At 43.6% G+C, this 19,219-nt stretch overlaps 1 protein-coding gene across 1 annotated transcript; it reads left to right on the top strand.

Annotated features, from left to right (window-relative positions):
• CPHXL2 (cytoplasmic polyadenylated homeobox like 2) lies at positions 1,809–18,591 on the top strand. The gene is made up of 3 exons (NM_001395862.1): positions 1,809–1,831; positions 9,262–9,455; positions 17,569–18,591. Exons 1-3 carry the CDS (start codon positions 1,819–1,821, stop codon positions 18,562–18,564), a joined length of 1,203 nt encoding a protein of 400 aa, NP_001382791.1. The 5' UTR covers positions 1,809–1,818; the 3' UTR covers positions 18,565–18,591.

Below are 19,219 nucleotides of genomic sequence, written 5' to 3'. Positions count from 1 at the left end.
TAGCAGGGATTACAAGCACATACAACCACGCCCAGCTAGTCTTTTCACCATGTTGATTAGGTTGGTCTGGAATTCCTAACCTTGAGTAATCCACCCGTCTCAGCATCCCAAGGTGCTGGGATTAAAGGCGTAAGCCACTGTGCCTGGCCAAGTTTTAGTTCTTTAATACTTTTTGAGAGGCCTGGGAGTTCTTTCCTAAAAATAAAAAAATAAAAACTCACATAAAACCATAAGTTTCAAGCTTTAAGACAAGAAGAGCCCATTTCTAGTTTATCAAAAAAAAAGGCTGTCAATGAAACTATTGGGTCAGTTTCAGTCAGCGGTCCCTTAGCAGTGGAGAATTAAATAAATCAGCCTATTGTTCAATCAAAGCTGTAGTTATGGCTCTTGGAACAGAGAAGCTCGGTATCTAATGGTTGGTGAACCGCAACTGCTTCAACATTGCTTATCTCGAGGCCAGTGCTTGTTTAGCTGCTAGAGATAAAGAAAACCCTTGTGGCAGTTAGAGCACAGTTTATTCTTTTTTTTTTTTTTTTTTTTTTTTTTTTTTGAGACAAGAGTCTTGCTCTGTTGCCCAGGCTGGAGTACAGTGGTGCAATCTCAGTTCACTGCAACCTCCGCCTCCTGGGTTCAAGCAATTCTCCTGCCTCAGCCTCCTGAGTAGCTGGGATTACAGGCACACGCCACAGTGCCTGGCTAATTTTTTTGTATTTTTAGTAGAGACGGGGTGTTTCACCATGTTGACCAGGCTGGTCTTGAACTCCTGACCTCAAGGGATCCTCCTGCCTCTTCCTCCCAAAGTGCTGGGATTACAGGCGTGAGCCACCATGCCCAGCGCATAGTTTATTCTTTAAGTAAAAGACTGCGTGAAACTTAATCCATGCCTCACAGTGCCTTAGGTCCTGTTTACTAATTTGGTTTTATTGCCACCAAGAGTTCATTTTGTCAGTCTCATGATCTCCATTTAAATATTAATGCTGGTCAGCTGTGTCTAAACCACAAAAGTGAGAAATATAATGAGGTATGTCTGACATCCCATCTCATCACGGCTGGGAACTCAGTTTTTGGGGGTTTTTTTGCTTTTTTTTTGAGACAGAGTCTTGCTCTGTCACCCAGGCTGGAGTGCAGTGGCGTGATCTCAGCACACTGCAACCTCCGCCTCCCAGGTTCAAGCGATTATCCTGCCTCATCCTCCCGAGTAGCTGGGATTACAGGCATCCACCATCACGCCCAGCTAATTTTTGAACTTTTTGTGGAGACGGGGTTTCGCCATGTTGGCCAGGGTGGTCTCCAACTCCTGACCTCAGGTGACCCCCCACCTCAGCCTCCCAAAGTGCTGGGATTACAGGTGTGAGCTACCACGCCCTGCCAGAACTCAGTTTTTAAGGTTTCTCTGAGGTCCCTTTGACTAAAGGGGTCAGTCCATTGAGTTGTTTGGGGGACTTGGAATTTTATTTTTAGTTCTCACAAGAGTGTACAGAATCGCTGTTATATAGAATAAGTGTGTGGTGACAGGCATGGAATCAGCTGTCAGACGGCCAGGGTCGGAGAGCTGACCCTGGGCTCTGAACCATTCTACACCAAAGGTTCTTACCTGTAAAATGAGGATGAAAATGTGATATTAAAGAATTAAAGAAGAAAATTAATCTCAATGAATAGAAGATAGGATTTGAAAAGGTGGGTTCTGTAAATAAATCAAAAAAGCATGACTAGGGTGGAGGCGTGATTAGGGTGGGCACCTCTGAGTATATTTAAAGTAATTCAGCTTTACAATTCATTATTTTTTCAGTTGGAAAGGCCCTGGACTGGAGTTTCGACATGTCTTCCCAAGGTGAGTGCCTTTGGTAGAGAACTCAATGTGTTTTGTTGTGAGAAGACTGTTTCCATGAAAATGAGGGTTTTGTAGGGTTTCAACTTTTACCTTATAATAGTGAAGATTGTGGGCAGTCAGTTTGATATTATTCACTGGGGGTACAACAGGACACTGCAGCTTTTAGATAGGACTAGGCATTTAAAAATTAAACCCAATTATGATTCTTGTTTATAAAATTCTTTAGTTTTTAGACAGACAAAAATACCTACAGATCAAATTTTATTAAAAGGTAAAAAATCTTGGGGGGAAGTTTGAATGGATGGGTTCTAGATCAGACAAAGACTGGCTGTGTATTAATAATTATTAAAGCAGAGAGCAATTGAGGCTGGAAGCAGTGGCTCATGCCTGTAATCCCAACACTTTGGGAGGCAGAGGTGGGAGGATAGCTTGAGTCCAGAAGTTTGAGACAAGCCTAGGCAACATAGCAAGACCCTATTTCTACAAAAGAAATAAAAATTGGCCAGGTGTGGTGCATGCCTGTAGTTCCAGCTACTTGGGAGCCTGAGGCAGGAGGGATCATCTGAGCCCAAGAGTTAGAAACTGCCATAAGCTATGATCATGCCACTGCACTCCAGCCTGGGTGACAGAGTGAGGCCTTGTCTCTTAAAAAACAAAAATGTCCCAGGTATTTTTTTTTCCTAGCTCACAAATATGGCAGTTTTTTATTCTGTGATTTTGTTCAGAAATATTGTGAGAACTTCCATATGTAAAGTATGGAAGAAGCTTTGTCACTCTTTCTTTGAAAACAGTTGAAGCATGCTGGGTTAGGCTTAGGTTTATTGTTATTGATGACCCCTGGATGGAGCGAGAAGGTCACGTGTAACGTAAGCTCACTGTGTGTTTTGTATTTTTCTTTTTTTTTTTGGAGACGGAGTTTTGCTCTTGTCACCCAGGCTGGAGTGCAATGGCGCGATCTCGGCTCACTGCAACCTCCATCTCCCAGGTTCAAGCGATTCTCCTGCCTCAGCCTCCCAAGTAGCTGGGATTACAGACGCCCACCACCACACCCAGCTAATTTTAGTATTTTTAGTAGAGACGGGGTTTCACCACATTGCTCTGGCTGGTCTCAAACTCCTGACCTCAGGTGATCCACCCACCTCGGTCTCCCAAAGTGCTGGGATTACAGGTGTGAGCCACCATGCCTGGCCTGTTTTGTATTTTTCAAATCTTGCCCCACCACTGTATTTGTCCTGGAGGCAAAATCTACAGCAAAGAGCACCCAGAGTAACAATGGCCCAACCATAAAAACTTTGGGATGAAAGGTTCACCACAAAGCTTTGATAGGAATGAGCTCTATCTCAGGGACCTGGGAGTAGCCCCAGAACTTGGAGTGTGGCGTGAAGGTAGCCTCAGTGGCTCACCACTGTTTGATGCTCTAGGACAAGACTTCCAAACATTTTTTCTTCGGTGAATTTTTGTTCCCTCCTCTTTCTCTGAAAACCCAGTTTCCCACCACCATTTGTTGAAAAGATGATTATTTCCCCACAATGATTATTTTGACACCTTTGTTGAAAATAAGTTGTCTGGAAATGTGAGGGCTTATTTCTAAACTCTCAATGCAATACCATTGATATTATATATAATATTATAATATTGCATATACATAATTAAATATAATATCAATGTACTGGGCACGGTGGCTCACACCTGTAATCCCAGCACTTTGGGAGGCCAAGTCGGGCAGATCACGAGGTCAAAAGTTCAAGACCAGCCTGACCAATATGGTGAAACCCCATCTCTTTTTTTTTTTTTTCTTTTGAGACAGTCTCACTCTGTCACCCAGCCTGGAGTGCAGTGGCACGATCTCGGCTCACTGCAACCTCTGCCTGCTGGGTTCAAGCGATTCTCCTGCCTAAGCCTCCTGAGTAGCTGTGACTACAGGTGCCCACCACCATGACTGGTTAATTTTTGTATTTTTAGTAGAGACGGGGTTTCACCATATTGGCCAGGCTGGTCTCGAACTCCTGACCTTGTGATCTGCCCGCCTCAGCCTCCCGAAGTGCTGAGATTACAGGCGTGAGCCACCGCACCCGGTGGTGAAACCCCATCTCTATTAAAAATACAAAAATTAGTCAGGCATGGTGGCGTGCGCCAGTACTCCCAGCTATTCAGGAATCTGAGGCAGGAGAATCGCTTGAACCCAGGAGGCAGAGGTTGCAGTGAGCCGAGATCGTGCCACTGCACTCCAGCCTGGGAGACAGAGCGAGACTCTGTCTCAAATAATAATATCAATGGTATTGCATATATATATAGTAAGTTTTAAAATCAGGAAGTATGTATCCATCTTTGTTCTTTTTCAAGATTATTTTGGCTATTTGGGGCCTCTTAAATTTTCATATGAATTTTAAGATCAGCTTATCAATTTCTCCAAAGCAGTTAGCTGGGATTTTGATAGGGATTTTTACTTTGTATTGTATCTGTGGATCAACTTGAACATAATTATATTAGCAATATTAAGTTTTCTGAATCTTGTACATAAACTATCCATTTATTTAGGTCTACTTTAATTTTATTCAACAATTTTTTTTCAAAGTACAGATTTTGCACTTCTTTTTTTTTTTTTTTTTTTTTTGAGACGGAGTCTCGCTCTGTCACCCAGGCTGGAGTGCAGTGGTGCGATCTCGGCTCACTGCAAGCTCCGCCTCCCGGGTTCACACCATTGTCCTGCCTCAGCCTCCCGAGTAGCTGGGACTACAGGTGCCTGCCACCACACCCGGCTAATTTTTTGTATTTTTAGTAGAGATGGGGTTTCACTGTGTTAGCTAGGATGGTCTCAATCTCCTGACCTCTTGATCCACCCCCCTTGGCCTCCCAAAGTGCTGGGATTACAGGTGTGAGCCACCACCCCCAGCCAAAGTACAGATTTTGCACTTCTTTTGTTAAAGTTATTCATAAGTATTTTCGTCTTTTTGATGGAATTTTTTCTTTTCTTTTATCTTTTTTTTTTATCTTTTTTTTTTTTTTTAAGACGAGATCTCTCTCTGTCACCCAGGCTGGAGTGCAGTGGCACAATCTCAACTCACTGCAACCTCCGCCTCCCAGGCTCAAGTGATCCTCCAACCTCAGCCTCCCAAGTATCTGGGACCACAGGCACACACCACTGCATCCAGCTAATTTTTTGTATTTTTGGTAGAGACAGGGTTTTGCCATGTTGCCCAGGCTGATCTCAAACTCCTGAGCTCAAGCCATTCGCCCCCGCTTGGCCTCCCAAATTGCTGGGATTACAGTTGTGAGCCACAGGTAGGATGTTCTAATCTTGCTTTGTGCCTTTCTGCCCCAGACCTAGAATCAGCCATTTACTAAGAAAACTCCGGTTTCTTTTAATAGGAATTGGTATTATCAAACTATAGTTTAGGCCCTAGGTGTGCTGGTTACTAAGGGGGTTTAATGGCTTCTGGACCTTTCAGGTAGACAGACCTAGGAAATTATTTTTAAGTGATGAAATTAAACTGATATCTCCAAGTCAGACTTTTTTTTTAATTTTTTTTTTTGAGACAGGATTACATGCCTGTAATCCTAGCACTCACTCTCTCCTAGGCTACAGTGCAGTGGCAGTATCACCATTCACTGCAGCCTCCAAATCCCAGGCTAAAGGAAACTTCCCACCTCAGCCTCCCAAGTAGCTGGGACCACAGGCATGTGCCTCCATGCCCAGCTAATTTTTATATTTTTCGTAGAGAAGAGGTTTCAACATGATGCCCAGGCTGGTCTCAAACTCCTGAGCTCAAGTGATCTGCCCGCCTGGTCCTCCCAAAGTGCTGGGATTACAGGCATGCGCCACCACACCTGGCCTCCAAATCAGAATTGACTACACAAGGTCACAAGGTTCCCTTTTTCTTTTTTTTGTCTTTTTTTTTTTTTTTTTTTTTGAGACAAGGTCTTACTCCGTCATCCCCAGCTGGAGTGCAGTGGCACGTGCACGGCTCACTGCAGCCTCAGCTTCCTGGGCTCAAGCAAACACCTCAGCCTCAGGAGTAGCTAGGAATACAGGCACGTGCCACCACACATGCTAATTTGTTTTTTGCTTTTTTGTTTTTTGTTTTTGTTTTTGTTTTTTAAAACTGAGGTCTCATTTTGTTGCCCAGGCTGGTCTGGAACTCCAGGCATCAAGCAATCAAGCAGTCTGCCCACATCAGCCTCCCAAAGTGCTGGGATTAGCTGGGTGTGGTGGCTCACGCCTGTATCCCAACACTTTGGGTGGCCAAGGCAGGAGGATTGCTTGATCCTACAAGTGGAGTTCAAAACCAGCCTGGTCAACATGGTGAAGGCCTGTCTCTACTAAAAATTCAAAAATTATCCGGGCGTATTGCAAGCCTGTAGTCCTACTTGGGAGGCTGAGTTGATAAGATCACTTGAGCCCAGGAGGTCAAGGCTGCAGTGACCCATGACTGCACCATTGCACTACAGCTTGGGTGGACAGAGTGAGTCTCTATCTCAAAAACAAAACAAAACAAAAAATTATAAATGCTGGCATTACAGGTGTGAGCCACTCCACCCGGCATACACAAGATTCTTTCTTAACTTTCCTACTGTACATTTGTGGCCCCTTCTCTTACAGTGAATGCCCTGGTTCAATTTATATTCACTTGCTCTGTCCTACAATACGTGCGAAATTATTTTGAAATTGTAAACCAATGCCAATCAAGGAAATTTTTTTTTTTTTTTTGAGATGGAGTCTCACTCTGTAGCCCAGGCAGGAGTGCAGTGGTGCAATCTAGGCTCACTAAAATCTCCGCCTCCCAGTTTCAAGCGATTCTCCTGCCTCAGCCACCTGAGTAGCTGGGATTACAGGCACCCGCCACCATGACCAGCTGATTTTTTTTTTTCTTTTTTTTTTAGTAGAGACGGTTTCACCATGTTGGCCAAGCTGGTTTCGAACTCTTGACCTCAAGTCATCCGCCCACCTCAGGCTCCCAAAGTGCTGGGATTACAGGTGTGAGCCATCGCACCCGTTAGATTAATGAGTTTTTTAGCATGTCCCAGGTGACAGCATGGCTCGCCCCATTCTAGCCACATCTTTGCCCTTTATTAGCATGCAAAAGCCATCCTTACATGGCTGCAAGCCCCCCTGATTTGGATTCCATTTACTGTCTCACCTTGCCTCCTCTCTCTTTTTCAGTCACACTTTGTACTCCATTCGTAGTGTCTTCCTTGCTATTTCTAGAACATTCTAGTCTTTCTCAGGGCTCGGGGCTTTTGCATCAGTGTTTAACACCAGTTACTTCATTCATAAATATTTGTTTTAATTCACCCATTTAAAAAATATTTATTGTGTTTCTATTTGGGGTTTTTTGTTTTCAATCAGCCTATGTTGTGCTTTAAAGTGTCTATTTTTATAAGGCACTACTTTAGGCTTTCAAAAAATAGTAAATAAGATAGACTAAAAGCCATGCTCTCTGGGGCTTCCAGTCTAGTATGTTTGTAGAGAAGTGAAGGGAAGACAGATGGTGTCATCAACACGTGAATTATTTGGTAATTTTGAGTCACGATAGTGTTACAGAGAAAGGAACTAAAAACAGTAGGATAAAAGAAATTGAGAATTCTGATCTGGAAAGGTATTTCAATTTTTTTTTTTTTTTTTTTGATACAGAGTCTTACTCTATCACTCAGGCTGGAGTAGAGTGTAGCGATCTCTCCTCACTGCAGCCCCTGCCTTCCCCAGGCTCAAGCGATGCTCCCACCTCAACCTCCCGAATAGCTGGGATTGTAGGTGCACACCACCACGCCTGGCTAATTTTTGTTTCATGTTGGCCAGGCTATCCTCGAACTCCTGACCTCAAGTTATCTGCTGGCTTCGGCCTTCCAGAATGCTGGGATTATAGGCGTGAGCCGGCGCACACAGCCTGTTTTTCCATTTTTAATAGGGTGGTTAGGGTAGGACTCCCTGGGAAAGTGAGTTTTGAACAAAGGCATGGAGGGAGGTGAGGGAGTGAATCAAGGGGATCAGAAGAGGAAGAAGTGGAGACCTTCCCAGGAAGAGAGAATAGCCCGAGTGGAGATTCCTCCAGGTGTTCAAAGGACAAGCAAAGAGACTGACATAGCTGCGGGGCACTGAGTGAGGGGGAAAAGAAGAAGCGATGTCAGGAATAAATTTACAGAAGGGTACAGATTGAGTAAGGCTTGAAGGCTATTAAAAAATAAAATTTTACGCCTGGCGTGGTGGCTCATGCCTGTAATCCTAGCACTTTGGGAGGCTGAGAAAGGTGGATCACTTGAGCTCAAGAGTTGGAGATCAGCCTTGGCCAACATGGGGAAACCTCATTTCTGCTAAAAATACAAAAATTAGCTGAGGGTGGTAGTCCCAGCTACTCAGGAGGCTGAGGCGCAAGAATCGCTTGAACCCAGGAGGTGGACGTTGCAGTAAATAGAGATAGCATCACTGGTCTCCAGCCTCGGCGACAGTGAGACTCCATCTCAAAAATAAACAAATCAATAAACTTTTAACTGAAATATACTGTGCATGCCAAAAATAGCAAATATTTACACATGTTTAATTTAACAAATGTTCACAAACCAGCTACACTCATGGAACTCAGAGAGCACTCAGATAGAGAGAACTTAGTGGCACCCAGAGGCCTCTGTTCTCTCCCTTTCAGGCTCCGATTCCGTTCCCTCAGTAGCCCATATCCTGCCTTCCAATCAGTATAGATCAGTTTTTCCTGTTGTATATTACAGTGATGAAATAATAAAATATTCTTCTGCAATTAGTTCTAATTTTAAAGATAAATTCTCAGCCGGCGCGGTGGCTCACCCCTGTAATCCCAGCACTTTGGGAAGCCAAGGCAGGCAAATCACAAGGTCAGGAGTTCAAGACCAGCCTGGCCAACATGGTGAAATCCCGTCTCTACTAAAAATACAAACAATTAGCTGGGCGTAGTGGCAGGTGCCTGTAATCCCAGCTACTTGGGAGGCTGAGGCAGGAGAATTGCTTGAACCCAGGAGGCAGAGGTTGCAGTGAGCCAAGATCGCACCACTGCACTCCAGCCGGGATGACAAAATAAATAAATAAATAAAAGATAAATTCTCAAATCCAGATAGTAAATATGTTAGGCTGTGTGGACCCTGGACACATCTGAGCCTCAACTACCGATTCCGCTATTGTGGCTTGAAAACGGCCATAGACAAGACATAAGTAAAAGAATGTGGCTGGTGACTGGTGTTTCAAAAAAACTCTATTTACAAAAACGCAACTGGCTGGATCTGGCCCATAGGCCTAGAGTTAGCCAATTCCTGCTTTCATGTGTAATTTTATTATTGTGAGTAGCTATGAGGTCACGCCTGGATTTCAACTTGGGAAGGGGAGGGAATCAATGGTGCTAACACTCTTCTTTGGTCTGGTTATTACCAATATTCTCCAATGCTCTTCTCGCTACTTATACTTTTGTCAGCTTTCCCAGCTGAAGAGGATCATCATAATGAAGAAAGACAAACAAAGAAAAAAAGAAAAACAAAACACCGACATAAATTTTCTGAAGAATTATTGCAGGAACTTAAGGAAATATTTGGAGAGAACGGTTATCCTGATTTCACCACTAGGAAAACACTGGCCAACAAATTTGATTGTCCGGTTAACGTGATAAACGTAAGTTCAACCTCGTATGCATGTTTCTTAGATTTTTTTTTTTTTTTAGGAAAGGTCTCACTCCAGTCGCCCAGTCTGGAGTGCAATGGAGCGATCACGGCTCACTGCAGCCTCAACTTCCTGGGCTCAGGTGACTCCCCAACCTCAGCGCTCCCCATTTAGTAGCAAGGACTACAAGCTCCCACCACCACACTGGGCTTTGTATTTTTTGTAAAGATGGGAGTCTTGCCATGTTGCCCGGGCTGGTGTCGAACTCCTGGGGTCAAGCAATGCACCCATCTCGGCCTCCCAAAGTGCTGGGATTACAGGCGTTAGCCACCATCTCCAGCCATTTCCTAGAAAATTAAAGGGCAATAAGTATAGATGGAGGTAGAAGCCAGAAGATTAGATAAAAAGGTACAGAATTCAAAGAAATGGGAGAGAGTAATCAAAATATATACATCTATACAATTAATCCTCCACATCCACTGGTTCCACATGCACGGATTTAACTAACCACAAATGGAAAATATTTGGAAAATTTAAAAAAAGAAAATAGGCTGGGCCCAGTGGCACACACCTGTAATCCCAGCCTTCATCCCACCACTGCACAATTAAAAAAAAATACAAATTTTAAAACAATACAGAATAAGAACTACTTATGTAGCATTTGTGTTATATTAGGTATTAGGTCTTGTAAGTAATCTAGAGATGGTTTTAAGGACATGAGAGGACATGCCCAGCATATATGCAAATTCTACACAGTTTTATGTAAAGGACAGAAACATCCTCAGATCTTGGTATCCAGAACCAATTTGAGAGAAAATTGTACACACACACACAATATGAAAAATATAGGCCTGTTGCGGTGGCTTACGCCTGTAATCCTAGCACTTTGGGAGGCCACAGTGGGCGAATCACGAGGTCAGGAGTTTGAGACCAGCCTGACCAACATGGTGAAACCCCTTCTCTACTAAAAATACAAAAATTAGCCGGGAGTGGTGGTGCGTGCCTGTAATCTCAGCTACCTGGGAGGCTGAGACAGGAGAATCGCTGGAACCCAGGAGGCAGAGGCTGCAGCGAGCAGAGATCCCGCCACTGCACTCCAGCCTGGGTGACAGAGCGAGGCTCTGTCTCAAAAAAAAAAAAAAATATATATGTATATATATAGAGAGAGAGAGAGAGAATTAAGCAGTATATAGCATTTCATCACATAGGAAAACGGTATTATTATCTATGTATGTTTGTGAAAATACAGTGGGTATGTATTGTGAAAACTAGACTGCAGTGAGGCAAATTTGGAAGCAGTGGATGAGTTGATGCTGCTGTAGTTAGTGGTGGTGACGGTGGTTTGGGCCAGCTTGCTAGCTGTGCAGGTGGATGGGACTAATGAGACTGTAGATGTTTGAGATGGAGCTGACAAAGTTTACTATGTGTGGGATATGCTGTGAAAGGTAAGGTGGACTCAAAGGTTACTTGGATGCTTGACTTAAGTCTATGGAAGATAGGAATTGCCTTTTACTAAGGAGGGGACCTAGGTAGGGGCAGGTGTGTCAGAGAAATCAAAGTTTACATTTTGGACACATGTTTCACATGTCAGATAAATATACAAGTGGAAATACTAAGAGAACATTTGAATATGCAAGTCTGAAATTCAGGGGAGGGCACTTAGTAGAAGATACAAATTTGAAAATTGCCTGTTTATGAATAATGCCCTGGGATCTGGCACAAGCCCTAGCAGAGTGGTAAGGGCTTTACAATTATCTGCTGCATGAACCAATATTTGTGGACATTTTTCTGATATCATAGAATCAGTTGAGAAAATGCCTGTTAATCACTATAAAAATTGATTGAACTAGAGTTATATTTTATAAGAGAATGGCAAAGATTTCCCTTGCTCTCTGTGTTCTGTAATAGTGCAGATTTATTGGTTGCTTGAAACTTGGAAGAAAGTGCCCATTAATATAAACTAGAATAAGAATACAGATCAGGTTTTATATGAAAAAAATACAAAAATATTGTGTAAGTAATTTCATTACTAATTTTTTTCTAATTTTTTTTTTTTTTTTTTGGAAATGGAGTCTCCCTCTGTCGCCCAGGCTGGAGTACAGTGGCATGACCTCAGCTCACTGCAACCTCCACCTCCCGGGTTCAAGCAATTCTTCTGCCTCAGTCTCCTGACTAACTGTGACTACAGGCACACGCTACCACACCTGGCTAATTTTTGTATTATTAGTAGAGGCAGGGTTTCACCATATTGGCCAGGCTGGTCTCGAACTCCTGACCTCAGGTGATCTGCCCGCCTCAGCCTCCCAAAGTGCTGGGATTACAGGTGTGAGCCACCACACCTGGCCAGTTTGAAGAATTTTTTAACTTCCATCTTGATTTCACTGTTGACCCAATGATCATTCACGAACAGGTTATTTAATTTCCATATATTTGCATGGTTTTGAAGGTTCCTTTTGGAGTTGATTCCCAGTTTTATTCCACTGTGGTCTGAGAGAGTCCTTTATATAATTTCAGTTTTCTTAAATTTATTGAGACTTGTTTTGTGACCTATCATATGGTCTATCTTGGAGAAAATTCCATGTGCTGATTAATAGAATGTACATTCTGCACTTGCTAGGTAGAATGTTCTGCAAATATCTGTGAAGTCCATTTGTTCCAGAGTATAGCTTAAATCCATTGTTTTTTGTTGACTTTGTCTTGATGACCTGTCTAGCGCTGTCAGTGAAGTATTGATGTCCTCCATTTTTTTTTTTTTTTTTTTTTTTTGAGATAGAGTTTCACTCTTGTTGCCCAGGCTGGAGTGCAATGGCACTATCTCAGCTCACTGCAACCTCCATCTCCCAGGTTCAAGCAATTCTCCTGCCTCAGCCTCCCACGTAGCTGGAATTATAGGCATGTACCACCACACCAGGCTAATTTTGTGTTTTCAGTAGAGACTTATTGGCCAGGCTGGTCCTGAACTCCTGACCTCAGGTGATCTGACTGCCTCAGCCTCTAAAGTGCTGGGATTACAGTGTGAGCCACCACGCCCAGCCATCCTCCACTATTATTGTATTGCTGTCTATCCCATTTCTTAGGTCTGGTAGTAATTGTTTTATAAATTTGGGAACTCCAGCTTTAGGTGCATATATATTTAGGATTGTGATATTTTCCTGTTGTACAAGGCCTTTTACCATTATATAATGTCCCTCTTTGTCTTTTCTAACTGCTGTTGCTTTAAAGTTTGTGTTGTCTGATAAAAAATAGCTACTCCTGCTTGCTTTTGGTATCCATTGCCATGGATGTCCTTTTTCACCCCTTTACCTTAAGTTTATGTGAGTTCTTACATGTTAGGTGAGTCTCTTGAAGGCAGCAGATATGTGATTGGTGAGTTCTTATCCATTCTGCAATTCCATATGTTTTAAGTGGAGCACTTAGGCCATTTACATTCAATGTTAGTATTGAGATGTGAGGTACTATTCCATTCATTGTGCTATTTGTTGCCTGTATACCTTGGTTGGTTGGTTTGTTGGGACAGAGTCTTGCTCTGTTGCCCAGGCTGGAGTGCAGTGGTGCAGTCTTGGCTCACTGCAACCTCTTCCTCCCCGGTTCCAGTGATTATCTCCTGTCTCATCCTCCCAAGTAGCTGGGATTACAGACGCCTGCCACCATGTCCAGATAATTTTTGTATTTTTAGTAGAATTGGGGTTTCGCCATGTTGGCCAGGCTAGTCTCAAACTCTTGACCTCAAGTGATCCACCCGCCTCAGCCTCCCAAAGTGCTGGGATTACAAGCATGTGCCACTGCACCTGGCTATACCTTGGTGTTTTTTTGTTGTATAGGTCCTGTGAGATTTATGCTTTAAAAGGCTATGTTTTGATGCATTTCCAGGATTTATTTCAAGATTTCAGAGCTCCTTTTAGCAGTTCTCGTAGTGTGGCTTGGTAGTGGCAGATTATCTCAGCATTTGTTTGTCTGAAAGACTATATCTTTTCTTCATTTATGATGCTTACTTTCACTGGATACAAAATTCTTGGCTGATAATTGTTTTGTTTAAGGAGGATAAAGATAGGGCCCCAATCCCTTCTAGCTTGTAGAGTTTCTGGTGAGAAATCTGCTGTTAATCTGATAGGTTTTCCTTTATAGGTTTTCTGGTGCTTTTGTCTCATGGCTCTTAAGATTCTTTCCTTCATCTTAATTTTAGACGAACTTGATGACAATGTGCCTAGGCAATTATTTTTTGGGATGAATTTCCCAGATGTTCTTTGAGCTTGTGATATATGAAAGCAGGCACTTGCTTTTTTTGGTTAGACTCTCATGAGCGCTGCCTCCCACTGGCTCTATAATCTCTGACAAATTCTTGACTCTCCTAGTGCCTTTTCTGTTGCTTAGAACAGAATATCTGAAATTGAGTGATTTATAAAGAAAACATTTATTTCTTATAGTTAGGGAGGCTGAGAAGTCCAAGGTCAAAGGGCTGCATCTGGTGAGAGTTTTCTTGCTGGTGGGGACCAAGGTGGTACAGGGTATCACATGGCAAGGTGGCTGAGGGTACTAGCTCAGGGGTCTCTTACTCTTGTAAAGCCACCAGTACCACTCCCATGATAACCCATTAATCCATTAATCCATGAATGTGTTAATCCATTCATGAGGGCAAAGTCCTTGTGATCCAATCACCTTTTAAGGCCTCACCTCTCAGTGCTGCCATGTTGAAGATTAAGATTTTGGGGTTTTGTTTGTTTTTCTTTCTTTCTTTTTTTTTTTTTTTTTGAGATGGAGTTTTGCTCTTGTTGCCCAGGCTGGAGTGCAATGGCACGATCTCACCTCACTGCAACCTCTGCCTCCCCAGTTCAAGCAATTCTCCTGCCTTAGCCTCCCAAGTAGCTGGGATTACAGGCACGTGCCGCCATGCCTAGCTAATTTTGTACTTTTAGTAAATACGGGGTTTCTCCATGTTGGTCAGGCTGGTCTCAAACTCCCGACCTCAGGTGATCTGCCCACCTCGGCCTCCAAAAGTGCTGGGATTACAGGCATGAGCCACTGCACCCGGCTGAAGATACAGTTTTATAAAACAAAAGTATCTGAGACAGATCTTAATCAATTTAGAAAGTTTTGTCAAGGTTAAGAACATGCCTGTGACACAGCTTCAGGAGGTCCTGATGATATGTGCCCAAGGTGGTCAGGCCACAACTTGGTTTTATACATTTTAGGCAGACATAAGGCATCAGTCGATACATGTAAGATGTACATTGCTTGGGTCTGGAAAGGCAGGACAAGTGGAAGCAGGGGCTTCCAAGTCATAGGCAGATTCAGAGATTTTCTGATTGGTAGTTAGTTGAAAGAGTTTTTATCACTAGAAAGGAATGTCTGGGTTACCATAAGGAATTGTGGAGACCAAAGTGTTGTCATGCTGATGAAGCCACCAGGTACCAGATTTCAGAATAGACTGTAAATGTTTCTTATCAGACTTGAAGAGTATGTTTTATGTTTCTTTTTTTTTTTTTTTTTTTGAGACAGAGTCTTGCTCTGTCGCCCAGGCTGGAGTGCAGTGGCACGATCTCAGCTCACTGTAAGCTCCGCCTCCCAGGTTCATGCCATTCTCCTGCCTCAGCCTCCTGAGTAACTGGGACTACAGGTGCCCGCCACCATGCCCGGCTAATTTTTTGTATTTTTTTTAGTAGAGACAGGGTTTCACCATGTTAGCCAGTATGGTCTCAATCTCCTGACCTCGTGATCCACCTGCCTCGGCCTCCCAAAGTGCTGGGATTACAGGCGTGAGCCACCGCGCCAACCTTGTTCTATGTTTCTTATCATACTTGAGGAGACTGTTTTATCAGTAATCCCAAAAGAAAGGAGGGTATAATGAGGCAGGTGTGGCTCCCCTTTGCTATCAAGGTCTGAACTAGTTTTTCAGTTAACTTTGGACAGCCCTTGGCTGAGAGGAGGGGTCCGTTAAGATGGTTAGGGGGCCTTAGAATTGTATTTTTGGTTTACAGTTTCAAGATGAGTTTTGGTGCGGACATTTAAACCATAGCACTCCTGCACCTCAGTTTTCTCTAAAATATGTGTAATTTTCTCTGTCATAGGTGCTTGGTTCATTGTGCCTAGTCATGGTTTTGTTTTAAACAATTATCCTGTGTGTGGATCAAAGATCCTTGTAGCTTCAGTGCTCCTAATAGCCTAAAGCAATTCTGAATTTAGTAGCACAGGGCATGGAAATATAAAAATGAGAGGTTCCTGTTAGATTATGCAAGTAACTTACCCTGTAGCCTGAACTATAAGAATTACCTCCCACCGGGCGCAGTGAGTGGCTCACGCCTGTAATCCCCGCACTTTGGGAGGCCGAGGCGGGCGGATCATGAGGTCAGGAGATCGAGACTATCCTGGCTAACACGGTGAAACCCCGTCTCTACTAAAAATACAAAAAAAATTAGCCGGGCTTGGTGGCGGGCACCTGTAGTCCCAGCTACTCAGGAGGCTGAGGCAGAAGAATAGCATGAACCTGGGAGGCGGAGCTTGAAGTAAGCCGACACTGCGCCACTGCACTCCAGCCTGGACGACAGAGCGAGACTCCGTCTCAAAAAAAAAAAAAAAAAAAAGAATTATCTCCCTTATTCAAACCATAGCTTCTTGGGATACAAAAAGCATTTTCTCATCTCTGCCTCCCTCAAAGCCTGAATAATTTGGGTATTTGCATATTATCCTCTTTCTAGGGGAGAGAAAAATAAAGATTAGACAAATTGAATGAAATAACTAGGGTTATTCTAAATATATATATTTGGTCTTCTGCTGTTTCCTGGCATGCAATTCTCAAAATACTTAGAATCTCCAAAGCTATGTCTTTTTCTACACTAATGAGTTGACTGATGGTAGTAGACCCTAGTAGCTTCAGGATGAGAGCTGTAAAGATCCAAGCAGGATTAGAGGGTTGGGACTTTCAGCCCCACCCTCCAACTTCTGGGAAGGGGAAGGCGCTGATGGTTAAGTTGATCACCAGCAGTCGATGGTTTAATCAATCATGCCTGTGCAATGAAGCCTCCGTTAAAAAAAAAAAAAAAAAGAAAAGAAAGAAAAAGGGAAAAAAAAAAAGTGGGTTTGGGGAGCTTCCAGATAGCTGAACATGTGGAAGTTCCTGGAGGGTGGCTTGTCCAGGCAGGGCATGAAAGCTCTGCACCCCTTCCCCCATATCTCACTCTATGAATCTATATCCTTTGTAACAAACTGGCAAACATATGTGATTCCCTGAGTTCTGTGAGCTGCTCTGGCAAGTTAATCAAACCCAAAAAGGAGGTCACAGGAGCCCCAACCCAAAGCCAGTCAGTCAAAAGTTATAAAAGCCCAGACTTGCAACTGGCATCTGAAGGAGGGGCAGTCTTGCAGGACTGAGCCCTCGACCTGTGGGATCTGACAGTGTTTCCAGGTAGGCAGTGCTGGAATTGAATTGGAGGACACCCAGCTGGTGTGCACTGCAGAACTGATTGCTTGCCTTGTGTGTGGGGAAACACATTTGCTCACAGTAGTCTTTCTGTGACTGTTGTGGTATGAGAGCAGAGGAAAAATGGTTTGTTTCTTCTCCTCACAGAGTCATACAACAAATATATGGTCAATAAATAATTGAAACAATTGCACTCTTTACTTGTGAAACTTGAACCCAATGTATGTAAGAATTATGTGCATATATGCAACAGAAATGGTATCAGAAAATACATTATTAATTCTTCCTGGTGGAAGAGCATGAGTAAAGTAGCAGGGTTGTAGGAACAATCCACGTCTAGGTGGGACAGCTGGGAGCCTCTTCTGTAGCACAGAGTGGGTCTCAGTGAGCAAGCAGGAGAAGATTGCATATAGGTCACAAGTAGGTTGGAGATAGATTCCAGACAGCCTAGGTTTACACGTAAACCATGGTGTCACTGTCTCCAGTGAAGGAGGTTATGGTTCTAGAAATGCATGATGCATGACCTCCGGTATCATATGTGCAGTTCTAGGGAGATTGTCTTATTTTTTATAAGCCTTAATGTCTGAAGGCAAGTCAGGGACTCTGCTTTTAAAAGGCTTAAAAAGAAAAAGCCTCCTACATTAAGGAATGCATAGAGGCATATAATCAGAGAAGTAGATTTGATAATACAATATTATCTTTTCCCTTTAGAACTGGTTCCAGAACAATAGAGCCAGACTTCCACCGGAAGAAAGACAAAGAATATTTCTTACTTGGAAAAAACACGATTTCCCAGTCCAAGCCTGTCCATTTTTAAGCCTCCAGGAAACCCAGGCTGCAGCTTCCAACTATGCCACAGAGCAGAGTTTTTCCTGTGCCAAGAGGGCTCTGATGAGAAGACCTGGTTGCTCCCTTCTGGAGAAACAGAGGATTGCCTGTCAACAGATGGGCTACAATTGCTTCTCTTTGGAGAACCAAGAGACTCCCAGTCAACAGGTGGGCTCCATGTGCTCTTCTCTGGAGAAACAAGGGATTCCCAGTCAACAGGTGGGTTCCCAGTGCTCCTATCTGGTCGCAGGTACTGAAAAGCATCCAGGCTATGCTTTGGAGTATGGAGGTGACACAGGAAGTGAGCATTCTACTGCCTATCGTTTTCTCAGCTACAACTCTGCAGAATGCCTTCATCCTCCCCCATCTTCTGTGCCATATTTTCATGGAGAAAGGACTGAAACCAGGGAAAGCCAGCATGCAAGTCCCTTCCTTTTGGATTACGCTCAAGGTGCTTACGGGGTGAAGAAAGACCATTGTCTTTGCTCATTCTGTCTCTCACTGCTGCAAGAACAGCAGCAGAATGATTGGCAGTATCACCCACAGCAGCACCAACAGCCTCAGAATTACTCAGAGGGGATGATGTTGCAGGAACAGCTGCCAATGGACTCGGGTCCTTGGGATCTAGAGAAGCAGTGGCCCTCGGCTCAGTCACAGCTGCAGAGTCAACTGCCTCAGAATAATGGAAAGCCGTTGTGCTCTCAACTGCAGCACGTGCCTCCCCAAATAGCTGCCAACTCACCCCTGCTGCCTCTGGGGCAAGATATGCAGGTAGGGGCTTCAAGCAACTCAGGACTCAAATGCAGCAGTTTTAGGTTGAGGGGTCTACACGGGCCTGCCACAGGAACCCAAGGATGCAGCTTTGCAAAGTATTGCTAAGTATCACAGAACCATAGCCACAGGTCAAGCCCACAGTAACCCACACAGCAGGCCAAAGCAAAGCCGTCTCCAGAAGCCTCCACATAAAAAATAAAAATAAAAATAAGTAAATAAATAAATAAAAATAAATTTTTTTAAAAAAGCCAGATGAGGTGAGGTTGTTTGAGCCTAAGGGTTCATGACGAGAGCCTGGGCAACGTGGTGAGACCCCATCTCTAAAAAAAAAAAAAAACTTTTAAAAAAAATTAGCTGTGTGTGATAGTGAGCTCCTGTGGTACCAGCTACTCAGGAAGCTGGTTCAGGAGGATCACTTGAGCCCAGGAGTTCAAGACCAGCCTGGGAAACATTTCTCAAAAAAAAAAAAAAAAAAACATTTAAGCCAGGCACAATGGCATGTGCCTGTAGTCCCATTTAACTGGGAGGCTGAGATGGAAGTATCACTTGAGCCCGGGAGGTGGAGGCTGCAGTGAGCTGTGATGGTTCCACTATATTCCGGCCTGAGTGACTGAGTGAGATCCTGTCTCAAAAAAAAAGTCTTCAGGAAAGCCCCATGAGCTGTTGGTTCCTTCTTGTAGAGAAGCAGTGTCCACATGCATTATAGCTCCTGAGCTCCTGACCATATACTTTATGGTGGCCTGCAGAAGCTTGACTCCAC

This window comes from Homo sapiens, chromosome 16 (genome assembly GCF_000001405.40).
Source record: "Homo sapiens chromosome 16, GRCh38.p14 Primary Assembly".
Classification (NCBI taxonomy): domain Eukaryota; kingdom Metazoa; phylum Chordata; class Mammalia; order Primates; family Hominidae; genus Homo; species Homo sapiens.
The sequence above is the reverse complement of the archived record's forward strand: the minus strand, read 5'-3'. Positions and strand labels throughout refer to the sequence as shown.